This window comes from Homo sapiens, chromosome 11, assembly GCF_000001405.40.
Source record: "Homo sapiens chromosome 11, GRCh38.p14 Primary Assembly".
Taxonomy (NCBI): domain Eukaryota; kingdom Metazoa; phylum Chordata; class Mammalia; order Primates; family Hominidae; genus Homo; species Homo sapiens.
Window position 1 is genome coordinate 28,637,540 of NC_000011.10, and position 21,695 is coordinate 28,659,234.

Consider the following 21,695-nt stretch of genomic DNA (forward strand, 5'->3'; position numbering starts at 1 on the left):
TACTAAGATGGCTCACACCCTCATCTTTGGCCCCTCTCTCCTACCCTCCTGAAGTCTAGAAGATAACTTGCAGGTATTTTAGCAATGCATGGCTAATGGTATACTTAGGTGCCTGAAGAAATCCTGCTTCTGCTTTCCCTTTGGTTCTCTGGCTCAGAAGACTGCCATGGTTTGGGGTACAATGTAATATGGTAAAAGTTTCCCTTATTTTTCAACACGGAAATTAATTATACATAACCACTCTGGAACTGAAGTTCAGCTTCTGGTCACATTGCCTTTTCCTGATAAGCTCCAACCCAGCTGCACCTGCTGCTGGCATTTTCACAGTGATGGCCATGATGGGAGCCTATTCTTTACTGCCACTTAGCTCAATGTAGCTAATGTTGAAAGGAAAATAATTCACACTACTGTATTTTGTAATGCAGCATGATGGAGAGGTGTAGCTATGACCAGATATTCACCAGCCTAGAATTAGCTTTGAGGAGAGTATTTCTAGGTAGTAGATGCAGCTCTGCATGTCCAACTACCTGCTCTAGAACTCTGCTGCAATAACGTAAACTACCAAATTCTTTCGGTAGCTCCAACCTGGAGACAAGGCGACCCAAAGAGTAGGAATAAAACAAGTTAACACTAAATGAGGAATCAGAAGATGGGTTTAGCACTGACTGTCTCTGGATGGCTCCATGAGCTGGCTGAAGCTATTGAACTATCTGGGTACTGGTTTAATCAGATATCAATGATAGAAATATGAATAGTGTCTACTTTATAGGCTTTATAGTCTCTGTTCCTTGAGTACTGAACGCTTGTCTTTTTTTTGTTGTGAATTTTAAATAATTAAATTTATTTCTTCAACAAACCCTTGTATAGCAGTTTACTTCATGCCATGTTCTTTTCTAAGCCCAGTGTAAATATTAACTCATTTAATACTCATAACATCCCTATGAGATGGAAACTATTGTTTTTCTCACTTATAAGTGAAGAAACTGAGGCACAGAGAAGTTAAATAACTTACCCAATGTCTTCTAAATAGTAACTGGAAGATCTAAGAAACAAACCAAGGTATCTGGATCCCAGTTCTCACTGACTACGCTATGATATGTGTCTTTAAAAGAGTTTGTTGGGGTATTGCTGGTAAGATGGCTGAATAGGAATAGCTCTGGTCTGCAGTTCCCAGCAAGACTGAGGCAGAAGGCAGATGATTTCTGTATTTCCAACTGAGGTACCTGGTTCATCTCACTGGGACTGGCTGGACAGTGGGTGCAGCCCACAGAGGGCCAGCTGAAGCAGGGTGGGGTGTTGCCTCACCGAAGAAGCACAAGGAGTGGGGGAATTTTCTCCCCTACCCAAGGGAAGCTGTGAGGAACTGAGCCTGAGGAACTCTGGCACAGATACTGTGCTTGTCCCACAGTCCTCACAACCCACAAACCAGGAGATTCCCTCTGGTGCCAACCCCACCATGGTCCTGGGTTTCAAGCGCAAAACCAGATGGCCATTTGGGCAGACACAGAACTAGCTGCAGGAGTTCTTTTTTTCCATACCCTAGCGGCGCCTGGAAAGCCAGTGAGACAGAACCATTCACTCCCCTGGAAAGGGGTGCTGAAGTCAGGGAGCTGAGATGTCTGGCTTGGCGGGCGCCACCCCCATGGAGCCCAGCAAACTAAGATCCACTGGCTTGAAATTCTTGCTGCCAGCACAGCAGCAGTCTGAGATCAACTCCAGACATTAGAGCTTAGTGCAGGGAGGGGCATCTGCCATTGCTGAGGCTTGAGTAGGTGGTTGGTTTTTTTTTATTTTTTTTACTTTTTTATGTTTTTTTTTTAAATTTTTTTATTATACTTTAAGTTTTAGGGTACATGTGCACAATGTGTAGGTTTGTTACATATGTATACATGTGCCATGTTGGTGTGCTGCACCCATTAACTCGTCATTTAGCATTAGGTATATCTCCTAATGCTATCCCTCCCTGCTTCCCCCACCCCACAACAGGCCCCGGTGTGTGATGTTCCCCTTCCTGTGTCCATGTGTTCTCATTGTTCAATTCCCACCTATGAGTGAGAACAAGCAGTGTTTGGTTTTTTGTCCTTGCGGTAGTTTGCTGAGAATGATGGTTTCCAGCTTCATCCATGTCCCTACAAAGGACATGAACTCATCCTTTTTTATGGCTGCATAGTATTCCATGGTGTATATGTGCCACATTTTCTTAATCCAGTCCATCATTGTTGGGCATTTGGGTTGGTTCCAAGTCTTTGCTATTGTGAATAGTGCCACAATAAACATACGTGTGCATGTGTCTTTATAGCAACATGATTTATAATCCTTTAGGTATATACCCAGTAATGGGATGGCTGGGTCAAATGGTAATTCTAGTTCTAGATCCCTGAGGAATCACCACACTGACTTCCACAATGGTTGAAATAGTTTACAGTCCCACCAACAGTGTAAAAGTGTTCCTATTTCTCCACATCCTCTCCAGCACCTGTTGTTTCCTGACTTTTTAATGATCACCATTCTAACTGCTGTGAGATGGTATCTCATTGTGGTTTTGATTTGCATTTCTCTGATGGCCAGTGATGATGAGCATTTTTTCATGTGTCTTTTGGCTGCATAAGTGTCTTCTTTTGAGAAGTGTCTGTTCATATTCTTCACCCACTTTTTGATGGCTTTGTTTGTTTTTTTTCTTGTAAATTTGCTTGAATTCATTGTAGATTCTGGATATTAGCCCTTTGTCAGATGAGTAGATTGCAAAAATTTTCTCCCATTCTGTAGGTTGCCTGTTCACTCTGATGGTAGTTCCTTTTGCTGTGCAGAAGCTCTTTAGTTTAATTAGATCCCATTTGTCAATTTTGGCTTTTGTTGCCATTGCTTTTGGTGTTTTAGACATGAAGTCCAGCATATAAACAGAACCAACGACAAAAACCGCATGATTATCTGAATAGATGCAGAAAAGGCCTTTGACAAAATTCAACAACATTTCATGCTAAAAACTCTTAATAAATTAGGTATTGATGGGACGTATCTCAAAATAATAAGAGCTATTTATGACAAACCCACAGCCAGTATCATACTGAATGGGCAAAAACTGGAAACATTCCCTTTGAAAACTGGCACAAGACAGGGATGCCCTCTCTCATCACTCCTATTCAATATAGTGTTGGAAGTTCTGGCCAGGGCAATTAGGCAGGAGAAGGAAATAAAGGGTATTCAATTAGGAAAAGAGGAAGTCAAATTGTCCCTGTTTGCAGATGACATGATTGTATATCTAGAAAACCCCATCGTCTCAGTCCAAAATCTCCTTAAGCTGATAGGCAACTTCAGCAAAGTCTCAGGATACAAAATCAATGTACAAAAATCACAAGCATTCTTACACACCAATAACAGACAAGTAGAGAGCCAAATCATGAGTGAACTCCCATTCACAATTGCTTCAAAGAGAATAAAATACCTAGGAATCCAACTTACAAGGGATGTGAAGGACCTCTTCAAGGAGAACTACAAACCACTGCTCAATGAAATGAAAGAGGATACAAACAAATGGAAGAACATTCCATGCTCATGGCTAAGAAGAATCAATATTGTGAAAATGGCCATACTGCCCAAGGTAATTTATAGATTCAATGCCATCCTCATCAAGCTACCAATGACTTCCTTCACAGAATTGGAAAAAACTACTTTAAAGTTCATATGGAACCAAAAAAGAGCCCGCATCGCCAAGTCAATCCTAAGCCAAAAGAACAAAGCTGGAGGCATCACACTACCTGACTTCAAACTATACTACAAGGCTACAGTAACCAAAACAGCATGGTACTGGTACCAAAACAGAGATACAGACCAATGGAACAGAACAGAGCCCTCAGAAATAATGCCGCTTATCTACAACTCTCTGATCTTTGACAAATCTGACAAAAACAAGAAATGGGGAAAGGATTCCCTATTTAATAAATGGTGCTGGGAAAACTGGCTAGCCATATGTAGAAAGCTGAAACTGGATCCCTTCCTTACACCTTATACAAAAATTAATTCAAGATGGATTAAAGACTTAAATGTTAGACCTAAAACCATAAAAACCCTAGAAGAAAACCTAGGCAATACCATTCAGGACATAGGCACGGGCAAGGACTTCATGTCTAAAACACCAAAAGCAACGAGTAGGTGGTTTTATGCTCACAGTGGAAATAAAGCCACTGGAAAGTTCGAACTGGGCAGAGCCCACTGCAGCTCAGCAAGGCTACTGTGGCCAGACTGCCAGATTTCTCTTCTATGGGCAGGGCATCTCTGAAAAAAAGGCAGGAGTCCCAGTCAGGAACTTATAGATAAAAGCCCCATCTCCCTGAGACAGAGCACCTGGGAAAAGGGGAGGCTGTGGGCGCAGCTTCAGCAGACTTAAATGTCCCTGCCTGATGGCTCTGAAGAGAGCAGAGGACCTCCCAGTACAGCATTCAAACTCTGCTAAGGGTCCCAGTAGGGGCCAGCAGGCACCTCACACAGGAGAGCGCTGGCTGGCATCTGGCAGGTGCTCCTGTGGGACGAAGCCTCCAGGGGAAAGATCAGGCAGCAATCTTTGCTGTTCTGCAGCATCCGCTGGTGATACCCAGGCAAGCAGGGTTGGGAGTGGACCTCCAGCAAACTCCAGCAGACCAACAGCAGTGGGGCCTGTCAGAAGGAAAAGTAACAAACAGAAAGGAATAGCACGTCCACTCAAAGACCCCATCCGAAGGTCACCAACATCAAAGACCAAAGGTAGATAAATCCACAAAGATGGAGAAAAACCAGCACAAAAAGACTGAAAATTCCAAAAACCAGAATGCCTTTTCTCCTCCAAAGGATCACAACTCCTGGCCAGCAAGGGAACAAAACTGGATTGAGAATGAGTTTGACGAATTGACAGAAGTAGGCTTCAGAAGGTGGGTAATAACAAACTCCTCCGAGCTAAAGGAGCATCTTTTAACCCAATGCAAGGAAGCTAAGAACCTTGAAAAAAGTTTAGATGAATTGCTAACTATAATAACCAGTGTAGAGAAGAACATAAATGACCTGATGGAGCTGAAAAACACAGCATGAAAACTTCGTGAAGCATACATAAATTTCAGTAGCTGAACTGATCAAGCAGAAGAAAGGATATCAGTGACTGACAGTCAACTTAAGGAAAGAGAGAAGGCAAGATCAGAGAAAAAAGAATAAAAAGGAACCAACAAAGCCTATAAGAAATATTGGACTATGTGAAAAGACCAAATCTACATTTGATTGGTGTACATGAAAGTGACGAGGAGAATGGAACCAAGTTGGAACACACTCTTCAGGATATTATCCAGGAGAACTTCCCCAATCTAGCAAGACAGGCCAATATTCAAATTCAGGAAATACAGAGAACACCACAAAGATACTCCTTGAGAAGAGCAACCCCAAGACACATAATCATCAGATTCACCAAGGTTGAAATGAAGGAAAAAATGTTAAGGGCAGCCAGAAAAAGGTTGGGTTACCCACAAAGGGAAGCTCATCAGACTAACAGTGTATCTCTCTGCAGAAACCCTACAAGCCAGAAGAAAGTGAGGGCCAATATTCAACATTCTTAAAGAAAAGAATTTTCAACCCAGAATTTCATATCCCGCCAAACTAAGCTTCATAAGCGAAGGAGAAATAAAATCCTTCACAGACAAGCAAATGCTGAGAAATTTTGTCACCACCAGGCCTGTCTTACAAGAGCTCCTGAAGGAAGCACTAAACATGGAAAGGAACAACTGGTACCAGCCACTGCAAAAACATGCCAAATTGTAAAGACCATCAATGCTAGGAAGAAACTGCATCAACTAATGAGCAAAATAACCAGCTAACATCATAATGACAGGATCAAATTCACACATAACAATATTAATCTTAAATGTAAATGGGCTAAATGCCCCAATTAAAAGACACAGACTGGCAAATTGGATAAAGAGTCAAGACCCATCAGTGTACTGCCTTTAGGAGACCCATCTCATGTGCAAAGACACACAAAGCCTCAAAATAAAGAGATGGAGGGATATTTACCAAACAAATGCAAAGCAGAAAAAAAAAAAAAAAAGACAAAAGAGCAGGACTTGCAATCCTAATCTCTGATAAAAGAGACTTTAAACCAACAAAGATCAAAAGAGACAAAGAAGGGCATTACATGATGGTAAAAGGATCAATGCAGCAAGAAGAGCTAAGTATCCTAAATATATATACACCCAATACAGGAGCACCCAGATTCATAAAGTAGGTTCTTAGAGACGTGCAAAGATACTTAGACTTGCACACAATATTAGTTGGAGACTTTAACACCCCATTGTCAATATTAGACAGATCAACAAGACAGAAAATTAACAAGGATATTCAGGAATTGAACTCAGCTCTGGACCAAGCGGACCTAATAGACATCTACTGAACTCTCTACCCCAAATCAACAGAATACACATTCTTCTCAGCACCTCATTGTACTTATTCTAAAATTGACCACATAGTTGGAAGTAAAACACTTCTCTGCAAATGCAAAAGAACAGAAATCATAACAGCCTCTCAGACCACAGTGCAATCAAATTAGAACTCAGGATTAAGAAGCTCACTCAAAACTGCACAACTACATGGACACTGAACAACCTGCTCCTGAATGAATACTGGGTAAATAATGAAATGAAGGCAGAAATAAAGATGTTCTTTGAAACCAATGAGAACGAAGACACAATGTACCAGAATCTCTGGGACACACTTAAAGCAGTGTATAGAGGGAAATTTATAGCACTAAATGCCCACAAGAAAAAGCAGGAAAGATCTAAAACTGACACCTTAACATCAAAATTAAAAGAACTAGAGAAGCAACAGCAAGCAAATTCAAAAGCTAGCAGAAGACAAGAAATAACTAAGATCAGAGCAGAATTGAAGGAGATAGAGACACGAAAAACCCTTCAAAAAATCAACAAATCCAGGAGCTGGTTTTTTGAAAAGATCGACAAAGTACGTAGGCCATTAGCCAGAATAATAAAGAAGAAAAGAGAGAGGAATCAAATGGACATAATAAAAAATGATATAGGGGATATCACCACTAATCCCACAGAAATACAAACTACCATCAGAGAATACTATAAACACCTGTATGCAAATAAACTAGAAAATACAGAAGAAATGGATAAATTCCTGGACACATACACCCTCCCAAGTCTAAACTAGGAAGAAGTCAAATCTCTGAATAAACCAATAACAAGTTCTGAAATTGAGGCAGTAATTAATAGCCTACCAACAAGAAAAGTCCAGGACCAGATGAATTCACAGGCGAATTCTACCAGAGGTACTAAGAGGGGCTGGTACCATTCCTTCTGAAACTATTCCAATCAATAGAAAAAGAGGGAATCCTCCCTAACTCATTTCATGAGGACAGCATCATCCTGTTACCAAAACCTGGCAGAGACACAACAAAAAAAGAAATTTCAGTCCAATATCCCTAATGAACATTGATGTGAAAATCCTCAATAAAATACTGGTAACCTGAATCCAGCAGCACATCAAAAAGCTTATGCACCATGATAAAGTTGGCTTTATCCCTGGGATGCAAGGCTGGTTCAACATATGCAAATCAATAAATGTAATCCATCACATAAGCAGAACCAATGGCAAAAACCACATGATTATCTCAATAGATGCGGAAAAGGCCTTTGACAAAATTCAACAGCCTTTCATGCTAAAAACTCTCAATAAACTAGGTATCGATGGAATGTATCTCAAAATAATAAGAGCTATTTATGACAAACCACAGCCAATATCATACTGAATGGGCAAAACTGGAAGCATTCGCTTTGAAAACTGGCACAAGACAAGGATGCCCTCTCTCACCACTCCTATTCATCATAGTATTGGAAGTTCTGGCCAAGGCAATCAGGCAAGAGGAAGAAATAAAGGGTATTCAAATAGGAACAGAGGAAGTCAAATTGTCTCTGTTTGCAGATGACATGATTGTATATTTAGAAAATCCCATCGTCTCAGCGCAAAATCTTCTTAAGCTGATAAGCAACTTTGGCAAAGTCTCAGGATACAAAATCAATGTGCAAAAATCACAAACGTTCCTATACACCAATAACAGAGAAACAGAGAACCAAATCATGAGTGAACTCCCATTCACAATTGCTACAAAGAGAATAAAATACCTAGGAATCCAACTTACAAGCGATGTGAAGGACCTCTTCAAAGAGAACTACAAACCACTGCTCAAGGAAATAAGTGAGGACACAAACAAATGGAAAAACATTCCATGCTCATGGATAAGAAGAATCAACATCATGAAAGTGGCCATACTGCCCAAAGTAATTTATAGATTCAATGCTATCCCCATCAAGCTACCACTGACTTTCTTCACAGAACTGGAAGAAACTACTTTAAACTTCATATGGAACCAAAAAAGAGCCTGCATAGCCAAGACAATCCTGGGCAAGAGGAACAAAGCTGGAGGCATCACACCACCTGACTTCAACTATACTACTAGGCTACAGTAACCAAAACAGCATGGTACTGGTACCGAAACAGATATATAGACCCATGGAACAGAACAGGGGCCTCAGAACACCACACATCTACAACTGTCTGATCTTTGACAAACCTGACACAAAGAAGCAATGGGGAAAAGATTTCCTATTTAAAATATGGTGTTGGGAAAACTGGCTAGCCCTGTGCAGAAAACTGAAACTGGACCCTTTCCTTACACCTTATACAGAAATCGACTCAACATGGATCAAAGACTTAAACATAAGACCCAACACCATAAAGATCCTAGAAGAAAACCTGGACAATACCATTCAGGACATAGGCATGGGCAAAGACTTCATGTCTAAAATACCAAAACAATGGCAACAAAAGCCAAAATTGACAAATGGGATCTAATTAAACTAAAGAGCATCTGCACAGCAAAAGAAACTGTCATCAGAATGAACAGGTAACCTACAGAATGGGAGAAAATTTTTACAATCTATCCATCTAACAAATGGCTAGTATCTAGAATCTACAAAGAATTTAAACAAATTTTCAAGAAAAAAACAAACAACCCCATCAAGTAGGCAAAGGATATGAACAGACACTTCTCAAAAGAAGACATTTATGCAGCCAACAGACATATGAAAAAATGCTCACCATCACTGATTATTAGAGAAATGCAAGTCAAAACCACAATTAGATACCATCTCATGCCAGTTAGAATGACAATCATTAAAAAGTCAGGAAACAACAGATGCTGGACAGGATGTGGAGAAATAGGGACACTTTTACACTGTTGGTTGGAGTGTAAATTCATTCAACCATTGTGGAAGACAGTGTGGCAGTTCCTCAAGGATTTAGAACTAGAAATATCATTTGACCCAGCAATCCCATTACTGGGTATATACCTAAAGGATTATAAATCATTCTACTATAAAGATACATGCACATGTGTGTTTACTGTGGCACTATTCACAATAGCAAAGACTTGGAACCAACCCAAATGTCCATCAATAATAGACTAGATAAAGAAAATGTGGCACATATACACCATGGAATACTATGCAGCCATAAAAAAGGATGAGTTCATGTCCTTTGTAGGGACATGGATGAAGCTGGAAACCATCATTCTCAGCAAACTATCCCAAGAACAGAAAACCAAACACCGCATGTTCTCACTCACTTTTAAGTGGGAGTTGAACAATGAGAACACATGGACATAGGGAGGGGAACACCACACACCAGGGCCTGTCGGGAGGTGGGGGGCTAGGTGAGGGATAACATTAGGAGAAGTACCTAATGTAGTTGACGGGTTGATGGGTGCAGCAAATCACTGTGGCATATGTATACCTGTGTAACAAAACTGCATGTTCTGCACATGTACCCCAGAATTTAAAAGTATAATAAAATAAAATAAAATAAAAAATTAATCAATAATCAAAACAAAACAAAGCAAACAACAAAAAAAGAATTTGTCTGTGTGAGTAACCCTTGAACAACCCTTGTGAATAATCCTTGCCTGGAACATGGAATATGTCAATAAATGTCAACATTTATTACCTGTAATAAGTGATGTTACTTATTTTTGGCTAAAAGCATTTTTGGGAAGGCCTCATAGAGTAAGTAGGACTTGAGCAAAGACACATCAGTGGTTTTCAAGTATAGCTCCACCTTAAAACAATCTGGAGAGCTTTACTTAAAAAAAAAAAAAAAAAACTCCCAGTGCCTGGGTCCCACTCTGATCCTATTGAATCATAATCTCTGGAGGCAGGCTCTGAAATCTGCGTTTTTCAAAATTTGACAGGTGAGTCTAATGTGCAACCAGGATTGAGAATCACACAGCCTCAAAAAGCAGAAATAGAAGGAGGAGAATTGTAAGTTGAAGAAACAGCATAAAGGATGGCACTGGGAAGGAAAGAAGAGGCACGACTTCGGAATGTTGACTAATCCAGCATGATCATAGCACTGAAAAACCTGTGGAGATGTAGGGACAGATGGGGCTAGAAACATAGGCAGGGACTTTGGAGGGCCCTGAGGATGTTGGGGCCTCAGTGTAGGTTGGTGCTTGATTTCCACCTACTCACACTTTTTACTTTCAAGTTTCTGGGTTGAAGAGCCAGATGGGGCAAGGGACCACTTTTAGATAGGACTTTCTGAAAACAGATAGAAAAGAGTGAAGCCTATATCTTGAGGCCACATGACCCAGATTTCCCTCCATCTGTTTGTAGGAGATGAAGCTGGAGCAGAAAAGCAGAAATCTCCCCTTGGGTTCCGGGATCTGTTGCCAACTGATCAGTGGGGTGGCTTCACTCTCTGGTTATGGTTTTCACCAATTATATTAATCACTTTACTAGAGAAGGACAGCAAATGTGCCTCCAGTATGACTGTCTTTTGGAAAGTAGACCTGAAGTACCCTCATATTTTTTATAGAGACCGTGGGAAGGGGAATAACCATTCTCTCTTAATGATAAGGAGTTAAAACTTACCTGTGTAGGAAATAGAAGGCTTTTATGTTTTTTGAACAAGGACATAACACCGTCACTGTTTTATGTCAGGACGCCTATTATTCATATCATATATAGATACAATATTTTAGTGTTTATAAAGTTTTTTTCAAATACATGATCACATTTTATATGTGCTTTAGCAAGTGAGTGAATTAAATTTTGAGCCATATATACAAGATAGTGTCTTGTTGGCTCCACTTCATACTAAAAATCTGAAGACGGATGGTATATCCGCAGGTAAGGCAGAAACTTCCTCTGTTGAACTCATAGGCAGAATGTTCCTTTTTCTTTTTTTTTTTTTTCTGGTGAGGTGAACGAGTACCTTGATAAGCTAAACTTGAAAAGGTCAACCTGTCTTTTAGGCACTGGGTGTCTGGGAAACCATACGGCTGTGAGCATTTGCGACGGAAGGTTATCTCTGTCTGGAATTGGATCTGTATACATTATGTCAGGCTCCACCAGTTGTCCGGTGATGAATGCGGTGCCTACCTCAGCCAGCTTGGCGTTCCAGGGGGCCCACTGTCTTCCAGCTGATGGAAGGATAATTAATAAACATGACAAAGAATGTGAAGAGACTTTTGCATAGAGAATTCTGGTTGGCTTTGCCCATATGTATGAGTGTTCTTGTATTCTTGGGGGCAAATCCTTTTGTCCAGTGAGAGTCAAGAAACTGTAGCATCTTAGTTGGAGCCTCAGGTCATACATGAAGGAAAACCAGGTTGAAGTTAGAACTACTCACTCATGCCTGTTTAATGACAGACATGAAATGTAAGGCAGCCTCTGTCTTTTCCTTCAGAGAATTCAGTGACAAATTCTCTAGCTACCCACTAACTACTGAATTGGAGTTCATCTGTTAGAACCTAAGAGTTGCAATCTTCTCCATGCCATTTTTACTAGGGGCACACACATCCATTCTACTCTCTGTCTAGTCTTTCAATTTAGTGTTCCATGCCAGTAGTGCATATGTGTATGTACATACATAGACACATCCACACACACACACAAGCATACACACATACCCATCATTTAGACTAACTCATGGAGTTTGTGTGAGTCAAAACAAATAGATAAAAAGTGATTTCTAAACAATGGACAGTAAGAGACAAATTCTAAACAAGGGTTAGTAACAAAATTCGAACCAATTTTGACATTGTATTTTAGTGTTCCTTACTACTCTAAACTCTGTAAAAGCAGGAACTGTATCTGCCCAGTTTTTATTGCTTTTTACATTCGTCTTTTCAACTAGGAATGCATTCCACTTCAAATAACAGAATGCCCTACTGGCAGTAGCTTAGCTAAATAGGAGTACTTTTCTCTCATAAGTTTGGAGATAGTAGCTGCTGGTCTGGTTCAATTATTCGACAATATTAACAAGAACCTGGACAATTCTTTGTTTTTCTGGTCTACCTTTCCTGAGCTTTTCTACCATAGTTTTATCATTTATGCTCTCAAGATGGCTGCAACAGATCCAGAAGTCATGACTTCATTCAAAGTCAGAAAGCAAGAGGACTGCAATGGTGGTGAGAGCCTTTCTCCTCGTTCACCATTTTCTTATTTGGGAAAGAAGTGTCTTTCCCTGAACACCCCATTGTACTTCGCCTAACGATGACTCATGGCTGCCCTTACAAGGGAGGTTAAGAAAATATGTAATTGACTTTTTCAACTTTATAAAAGATATAAAAGGGCTAGGCACAGTGGCTTATGCCTCTAATTGCAGCATTTTGGGACCCCAAGGTGAGAGGATTGCTTGAGGCCAGGAGTTTGAGACCAACGTGGACAATATAATGAGAGTTCGTCTTTACAAAGAATAAAAACAAATTAGTCAGGCATGATGATGCATGCCTACAGTTCTAGCTACTTGGGAGGCTGAGGCAGGAGGATTGCCTGAGCCCAGGAGGTTGAGGCTGCAGTGCACTCAGCCTCCACTGTACTCCAGCCTGGGTGACAGGGCAAGACCCTGTCTCTTAAAAACAAACAAACAAACAACAAAACAACAACAAAAGGTTAAAAAAAGAGAGAAGGATAATAGGCTTTGTGAGGATAGGTGACTTAAGAATATATCATAAAACTCTTATCTCTTAGTGCTTGACATGGGCCTGACATGGGGCTTACTACTGTTTAGTAAATAATTATTGAAAGAAAGTGACCCAATTCCTCAATAATCATTGGCTCTGACTTTCTTTTCTTTTTTTTTTGTTTTGTTTCCATCAAACTCAGCAGTCTCTCTAAAGTTACAACAGTTCAAAGGTTGGGAATTCTTTGTCTCTAAGTCCCAGAGTTCCTTCTAAATGGATCCCAGCTTATTTGGATCTAAAGCTAGTCCATTCTACTTCCAAGACAAGAGCCAGAAATGATCTTTTCACTGAATATACCACATTTTAAAATTATTGCAGCTCTATAACATGTCTTATATTTGACACAATTATTATTTTTAGCACTCTTCCTTTATTTAAAATATACTGGATTATTATTGTTTGTTATCTATAAAAATAGTAATATTTTTCTACTTTCCTATTTCCCAAAGACATCTGTTGCCTTTTTAAAAATTGAAAATACACTAAGTTTATTGATTAAAGCACGACTGAAGTATGTGATTTTGAATTTTTCACCCAAGATCATGACAAAACTTTTCATGTTTTTGTCTACTACTTCTGAGCCAATGATTAGCATTTTAAGTTATATTCATGTTGATCATATATGTGTTTTCTTAAGTTTGAAATTTATCTGTTGTTGCCTTTGTAAATGGAGATATTTTCATCTAATGGTTTTGTTGGCATATATTAAGCCCATTATTTTCTGTATGTAAATTTTGTGTATAGATACCATACTACGTTATTTTAAATTTGTAATAGTTTCTTACCCATGCTCCAAGTTTCCTACGAAATCATTTTTTATGTGTATGAATAATAATTTTACTTCCATCTTTTAAATGTTTATATACCTCTTTTTTTCCTAATTGCATCAGTTAATTTCTCTACAGAGTGTTAAATACTAATGATGATAAAGACATTCTCGATTAGCTTTTTACTTTATGCAACTAGTCCCATTGTTTCCTCATTAATTAAGATGCTAGCTCCAAGTCCTATTCCTATTTTATTAAAAGGTATTTTCAAGAGTGGGTGTTAAATTTTATGAACCTTTGCCACATCTATGGAAATAATTGTATGTTTTTACCCTTATTATTTTTAGCTTATTGTATGTTATTACTCATTATTATTTATTAAATAATGATTATTTCCCTATGATTCATTTATTCTTTCCCTTTATTGACACAAGTTCTTATGACTATGATTTTTTTCTTTGAGCACTGTTTTAGCTATATTTCATAAATTCAAAATGTAGACTATGGTTATTTTAAATTATGGTTATTTTAACAATATTTTTCAGGTTTACTTTTAATTTCTTCTTTCATCTAATACTTGTTTGGGAGAAGTTTAGAATTTCCTGTAGGCAGATTTTTGTTGCTTTCTTTTTGTCAATTTATAGTTCCCTCCCTCACTCCCTCTCTCCCTCTCTTCCTTCCTTCCTTCCTTCTTTTCTTCTCTTCTTTCCTTCCCTCCTTTCATCCTTTGCTTTTTTTTTAATACTTGGATTAGGGAATATTGTCTTTACTTTTTTCTACTTTTTGGAATTCATAGAAACTTTCTGTTGGCCCAGTTTGACTTTAATTTTTCTTCCACTTCTTTTCTGTGCTATTTATACTAATGCTTTATTTTCTATTTACGTTTTATAGCATTCCTGAGCTCTTTTAGATCTCCTTTGTGCTCCTGTTTTATAAAAGTTTTTACTATACTATGTTGTAAAAATTCATAGTGATACATTTTGTCACAATTTTCTTGTGCTACAAAAGTCCTATTCTTTGTTTCCTTTTCTCATATAGCATCTTTCGGTCTTAGGAGAGTTTTTCAGATGGTTAATGTAAGAGAGCAAGAAAAGTTCTAGTCTGGATGAGAAGGACTAAATTTGTACTCTAGTGCTGTTGATAATATAGAATGTATCTCCTTTCTATGCCTCACTGACAGGTTGCTTTCCATATATTTTATATTTTGTCATGCTTTCCCAGCTAATCTATACTTTATGCTTAAATTGATTTAAGGAAGCTCCCACTACAACTTATATGCTTCCCATGCCATTCACCTTTTGTTCTGATGAGTCTTGTTTCCCTAGATGTGACACATACTTTGGATAAATAACCTATTCCGTGTTTGTTAAAGCTATGGATATCCTCATTCATTGTCTTTCCATACCCTAGTATAATTTTCAATTATCATTCTTCCCTGTATTTACATTCTATGTATGTAGAATTCTATATGTGTAGTTTACATATGTAGACTATTTACATTCTAGTTGCTATAGTTTTGGTGAAGAAGGATTTTGTGTTCTTGTTTTTTGTTCCTTTCTTGCTTTGGAGGTGATTTATAAAAGAATCACAAATTAGCCACTGTATGTTTTCTACAATTTTAAAGCTTGAAAACAGTTTATCTTATGTTTAATAATGCTTAAATTATTATTGCAACTATGTGCTCAGTATTAGGATAAAGAGTATACTGAGCATTGATTTCATTTTGCAAGTTTTTTCAGCATAATTGTATGACAGTACAATATTAGAAGTTTAGTTTACATTTGACTTTTATAACATGATAATTAAGAAGGTTACTTTTGCAAAAATATTCTGTAATGGCACTAATTTTCTATAGGGCTGCTCTTAATCCTTTGGTATTAAACTTTTTCTACTTTGAAATGCATATCTCATCATCCTTGCTGATTTTTCTTCTGTATTAATTAGCTGATCTAATTTTACCATATTCTCCTGAGTCAATGAATGACTGTGGGAGGATTTGAGAAGTTCTGCATTGAAAATTTAACATACTTCACAGAGCTGTAAATCTCTTACAAGATGTGTACCTTTATTTTTAGTTAATTTGCATTGTGTTTACATTGTATTTTTGGATATTTAATATCTTACAAACAATAGAAAATAATTAACATAAATAATGTAAAGGGTAGGAAAGACATTATTAGTAAAAAGAAAGGATGTTAAAGTAGAGGAAAATTTTACCTGTGGTAATAAGTGTATATTTCCATTGCATGATTTATTTCCTATAGTTTGTTAATTATAGAGATTTAAATTATGTATATTGACATAAAGAGGACCTTGTTCTGGAATCATGCAAATTCATGAAAGTCTAGCCTAGATAAGAAAAATACAAATGTCCTCAAAATGAACTAAAATTGGACTTTATTCTGTTCTGTTAAGATCCTGAATAAAAGTAAATTGTTATAGTTTGCATGCAATATATGTTTATATATTTCATGGTTAGTTCAATATGATTATAAAATTAAGACTATTTCCTACTTAAAGTAGTCCTGTCCTGGACATTTTTTTAAAAAAACACAGCCACTTCTAGAAGTTTTAATTCCATGTTTGCTTTAGTCTAAATGATTCTTCAATTCTTGTTAGTGGCTGAATCCTTCTGAAGTGGAAAGAACACTAGATTGGGAATTATAAGACTTGAGTTGAAGTTCTTTCCTGACACGTGTGACCTTAGTCGTGTGATATCACCTTTCTGAGTGTTTTATATGAAGGATACTTTGATATTTAACTATAATATTATTGAAAACTTCAAAATGTCTAAAAGTGTAAAAGATTCTCTATTTCTTAGTGTGTCTAGAAAAATATCTTTGTCCAGTATCTAGTTAAAACAGGAGAATTAGGCAAGTAATCATTTATTTTGTCATTTCAGTGCCAAAGATGCCACTGGTGTCATTACCATGTTTGTTTTTCAACCATGGATTTGCGTCACTCACTTCCTAACCCTTCATCACTGTTTTCTCCTGTATTTCACATTTCTCAGTCACAGAAGTCATCACATTCTTAGCACATTTAGCACGTTAAATTAATTAGGAGCCACATACAAAAATATGCCCACTAGCAGTTCTGTAACACCTCAGTGCTTTTCACATGAGTGGTCTCATTTGACGGAAAAGCACCAAAACACAAGACTTGCTATTTATTATCCATGCAATACAGTTTCTGTAGTTACATGTGTTTAAAACATGTCACATCTGGCCTGACCAGAATGTATTATTCGGTTCCAAATCTGACAATCACTTATAGAGTTCCAATAATTCAATCATGCCTGTATCATTTATTATAAATATTTACTGAGAATTTTAGCATCCACTCTTTGTTGGTATTATGCTGGGCACTGGAAATGTCGATGCAAAAGATGCTGCCCTGCTTAGGAGGAGTTTAGTAGAGTGTGGCAAACAGATACATAAATGGACAATTATATTAAAACCAGACATATATGCTGTTTCTTACCACTCTTCCCTTGTTTGCTTTACTCCAGTCTTAATGACCTCCTTGCTGGTCCTCAATCATGTCAGTGGCTGTTTTCTCCACCTGGAATGTTTCTCCCTAGATAATCATATGGCTTATCACTTCACTTCATTTAGCTCCCTGCTTAAACCACCTCTTTAATGATGCCTTCCATGATTACTCTATGTAAAGTGGTAACTTTTTTACCCTGCTTTATTTTTCTTCGTGAAGCTTATCAATTCCTGATATATTGTTACATATTATATTATTACATATTTATTTGTTTTCTTTCTTCCCCATTGGTATGTAAATATCACAAGGGAGCATCCTTGATTTGATCATGGCTTTAATATCTAAACTAGACTCTGAAAAAAGAGTATCAATCATGTTGATAGCTCAATTATGATAGCAGGAATATTGTCATTGTTTTGTAATAAGCCAACAATAATAATTAACAAAATTCCAGCTCAAGAAGTCTGTGGAAAAGACACACTATAGACCTTAGGTTCAAAGACCTATGGTAGGAATCTTTGAGAAGGATGTGAGAAAAATCAATGTGACAGTGGAAAAAAATACTATATACATCTCCTGTATATTCTAAAAAGTAGGGATATAAATGAAAATCTTTGATGGACTGATCAGAATAATACGTGTGAGGATTCAGACATCAGAATCTCACAAAGGTAAACGGCTCCAGAGAGGAAAGAGATTTGGAGGGAATTACAGTATTTAGGAAGAGCAGGAGCTGATGCCCATCCATCTCATGAGGGTACAAAAAGAGAGTCAAGATTAACTAATGAAGACTGATGAAGTTTCACTGGAAAATTTCACTGAGCCTCTCTCTTTTGTCCACATGAAAATGTCAGTCAATGTCCATTGAATATTTTTTAAAAACTAAATAAAATAGTAAGCACAGTAGGCTCATAGTAGGCATTCAGTAAAGTTTTTTTGCATGATTCAATTGCTAGAATGAAAAAACACAAATGATATTTTGTGCCTGACATCAGGCCTCCATATTCGTATGTAATTAATTTCATTTAACTTCTGTGACCATCCCTGAAATAGCTATTATTATTCCTTTGTTAGCAATAAGGAATGTGAGACATGGAAAGATTAATGTGACTTTATTCAAGGTTGCAGTGAGGTACTGCATGGTAGATGATAAAGCCCAGGGTTTCTGAGTCCAGTCCTGATAATCATTCTATTACACATGGACTGTTCTAGGAAACAGTAACAAGGAAAACAGGTGAGAGCCTAAATATATGTGCCAGAACTTGAAATTCTGGAAGAAAATATTCTTTTACTGCTTTTGCTGAGAATCTCTTTACAGGGCTAGAAAACTCTCATTAAGATTGGGCACAATGGCTCCTAACACTTTGGGAGGCCGAGGCAGGTAGATTGCTTGAGGCCAGGAGTTCGAGATCAACCTGGGCAACATGGTGAAACTGTCTCTACAAAAAGTACAAAAATTAGCTGGGCATGTTTGCATGCACCTGTAGTTTCAGCTACCTGGGAGGCTGAGGTGGGAGGATCAGTTGATCCTGGGAGATGGAGGTTGCAGTGAGCTATAATTGTACCACTGCACTCCAGCCTGGGCAACAGAGCCAGACTTTTTAAAAACAAAAACAAAACAAAACCAGAAAAAAACTCTCATTAATATGAAATTTTCTTTAACATAGGTCACCCATGAAACCCCCAGTTGATACCTTTATGTTGAGTTTTTATGAGCCAGTAGCTCATCCTTTCCATTAATGGGATGAAAGAATCTAAAATTTGGAAAGGGACTGTGAGAAATCACATGATTTATTGCCTTGGAATTGTCTCTTTTGATTGATAGTGATAGAACACCAACTGAAATGGTAAGATAATTTACTGGTTCTTGTATCTGGAAAGACAAAGAGACAATTCATGTAAAAGCTAGATTCAAGTGTTTATAGAATGGCACTAAGGCTTTCTCTCTTAACTCTGTTAGCCTTTGAGTGTTCATATAACCTCTCTCTCTCCTCTCTCTCTCTCTCTCTCTCTCTCTCTCATTAGCAAAAGGCCCCATGGTGGTCTTGGTCTTTAGAGCACATGCAGTCAGAAAAAGAAAAAAAAAAACTTCCCCAAGTATGCTTGCAGAATGTTAAGGAAAAGCCCTGATTGGTCTGGCATGAATCATACACATTTACCTGACCTGGTAGGCCTAGGGGTAGCAAGCTCTTGCTGGTTAGGCCTGGTTCAGAAGCTCATCACTGGGTTCAGTGTGAGTGAGGGTTATACCCACTCGAATGTTTCAAAGTGAGAAGAGTTATTGTAGAATTGGAGAGAGGAGGAAGAAATGTTATACAGATAAAAACCATTCAACAGCCTCACCGAACTTCTACTTCTGTGAACCTTATTCTTCCAGTAAGCAAATATTTGCAAAAATGTTCTCTATGCCAAGCTCTGGGCTAGTCCCTGAGTATTATCTTTTTAATCAATAATCTTTGCCCTTGAAGATACAGTTATGAAAAGAAACAGCCAAAAGGCAGGGAGATAAATGCAATCACAAACCAAGGTACAAATTGCTTTGGGAGGCTGGAAGAAGAACTGAAAAAATATGGACTTGTTACCTGACCGCTTCCCTTCCATATCACTCCTTGACCACTACCAGTAATTTTCAGAAGACAGTCTCTTTGCAAACTCTAGTATGTACTCGAACACACTCTTTCCTGCATCCTTTCTGTCATCAAAGGCACTCACTCTGTAAGTCATTTTAAACAGCTCCAAAAGTTCCATTCTAAAGTCATGGTTTTGAAATATTTTAGGATCTTATCATCCTCTCCTCATTTCATGAAACTGGCTTCAGTGACATTTTGTTTTTAGACACGAGAGACTGTTGCTGGGAATGGAAAAAGATGAAGAGGAGGGAGGGTTAAATCATGCTGCAAAGTGAAGAAGGGGTTATCTTCAAATTAGATATATTTATTAGCATGATGACTCATAGGATAATAATGCCACTTTGCCAGTGGCCAGGATAGAAAGCAAGACTATAAAGGAATAACTGGCTGATACTTAGAGGCATCCAAGTTGTTATATCTTTAGGAAGTTAAAAAAGTACCTTAGCGTCTGCTTACTCATCCCTGGGCCGGATGTTCTAAGCTGGAAAAAAAAAAGTTTTTCTTTCCTCTGATTCTGATTGTCAAGGACAAAAGGCCCAAGCTCTTCTACTAATTATATTTGTGACCTTGAGAAATCATTCAATCTAGCTTAATCTCTGCTTTCTTATTACAGAAATGGAGAATGAATTATGTCCATTTTATGAGTTGGTATCATGAAATCTATTTATGTATTTTGGTATTATACCCACAAATATACTATATGTAATATGTATCTATTATATATATGTATATATGTATGTATGTGTATATGTGTGTATGGATGTATATATATCAGGTGTATGTGTGTAAGAAAGAGAGAGAGAAAATAAAAATTAGACATTGCTAAGCAATGGAAAACAATAGGTATTGAGTAACTAATCTCCCTTATTGTTCCCCCTTCTTCCCACTTGGACTCAGTTTCCACCTTTATAGTAGACTGAGCTGAATCAACTAATCATTACATACCTTTGTGCTTCTGATATTTGGTTTTTCTGAAGATTTTTGTACCTTTCACTGTGAGAAAAATGGCTTGTTTTTTCCAGAAGTTATTTTCTATAAGTAACACATTTCTCTGGTCAGGAGCATTCTTCTGCTCAGTGTTCACACACACTTTTTTTTGCTACCATAAATACATTTAAAGAGTCATTACCACTAAGTTTTAGCACAGGGCTTTCCAAGACAGGCAGTGCAGGAGAGTCAGCCAGAGCATTTTGGGAAGGCAGCGGCAGACCTCCAGGGGGACAGAGATTGTCCTCTGGGCATTGCTCCCAAGAGGCTCCTTGGGAAAGTATTCTGGGTCAGTTTCCATGTATACAGTTGCTGCAGAATCTCTTCACTCTTCATCTTTGTCCTCACTTGGAGAGAAAATGATTCAGAGGAACCAGGACTGAGCATTTCTTCTAAAGCCATCCTACCCATCACCACATCAGCACTGAAGACAGCCTTGTGTTTCCTGCCAAACTCAATGATTTCAATGTTTATATCATTTTCCAGGGCTCTGCAAACATCTGTCATGACCCATAAACAGCCCAGTAGAGTCACAAAATAATAGAATGACAGAGTCAAAAACAACTCGAGAGGTCACTAGCACCATTCATTTCTTCATTTTAAGGATGAAGGACTTGACAGTCATTGAGATTAAGTGACTTGCTCAAGGTCTCACAATGAGTTAGTGACAGAAAAACAGAAAATACTATCACCTATCCCTGATTAACATTTACGTAACACTTTCGATTTACAGAATGCCTCTTCCATACATCTTATTAAACTCTC

At 37.9% G+C, this 21,695-nt stretch overlaps 1 long non-coding RNA gene across 1 annotated transcript in view; it reads left to right on the forward strand.

Annotated features, from left to right (window-relative positions):
• Nucleotides 1–21,695, forward strand: part of LINC02758 (long intergenic non-protein coding RNA 2758) — a 140,695-nt gene that overhangs the window by 98,593 nt on the left and 20,407 nt on the right. The window lies entirely within an intron of this gene.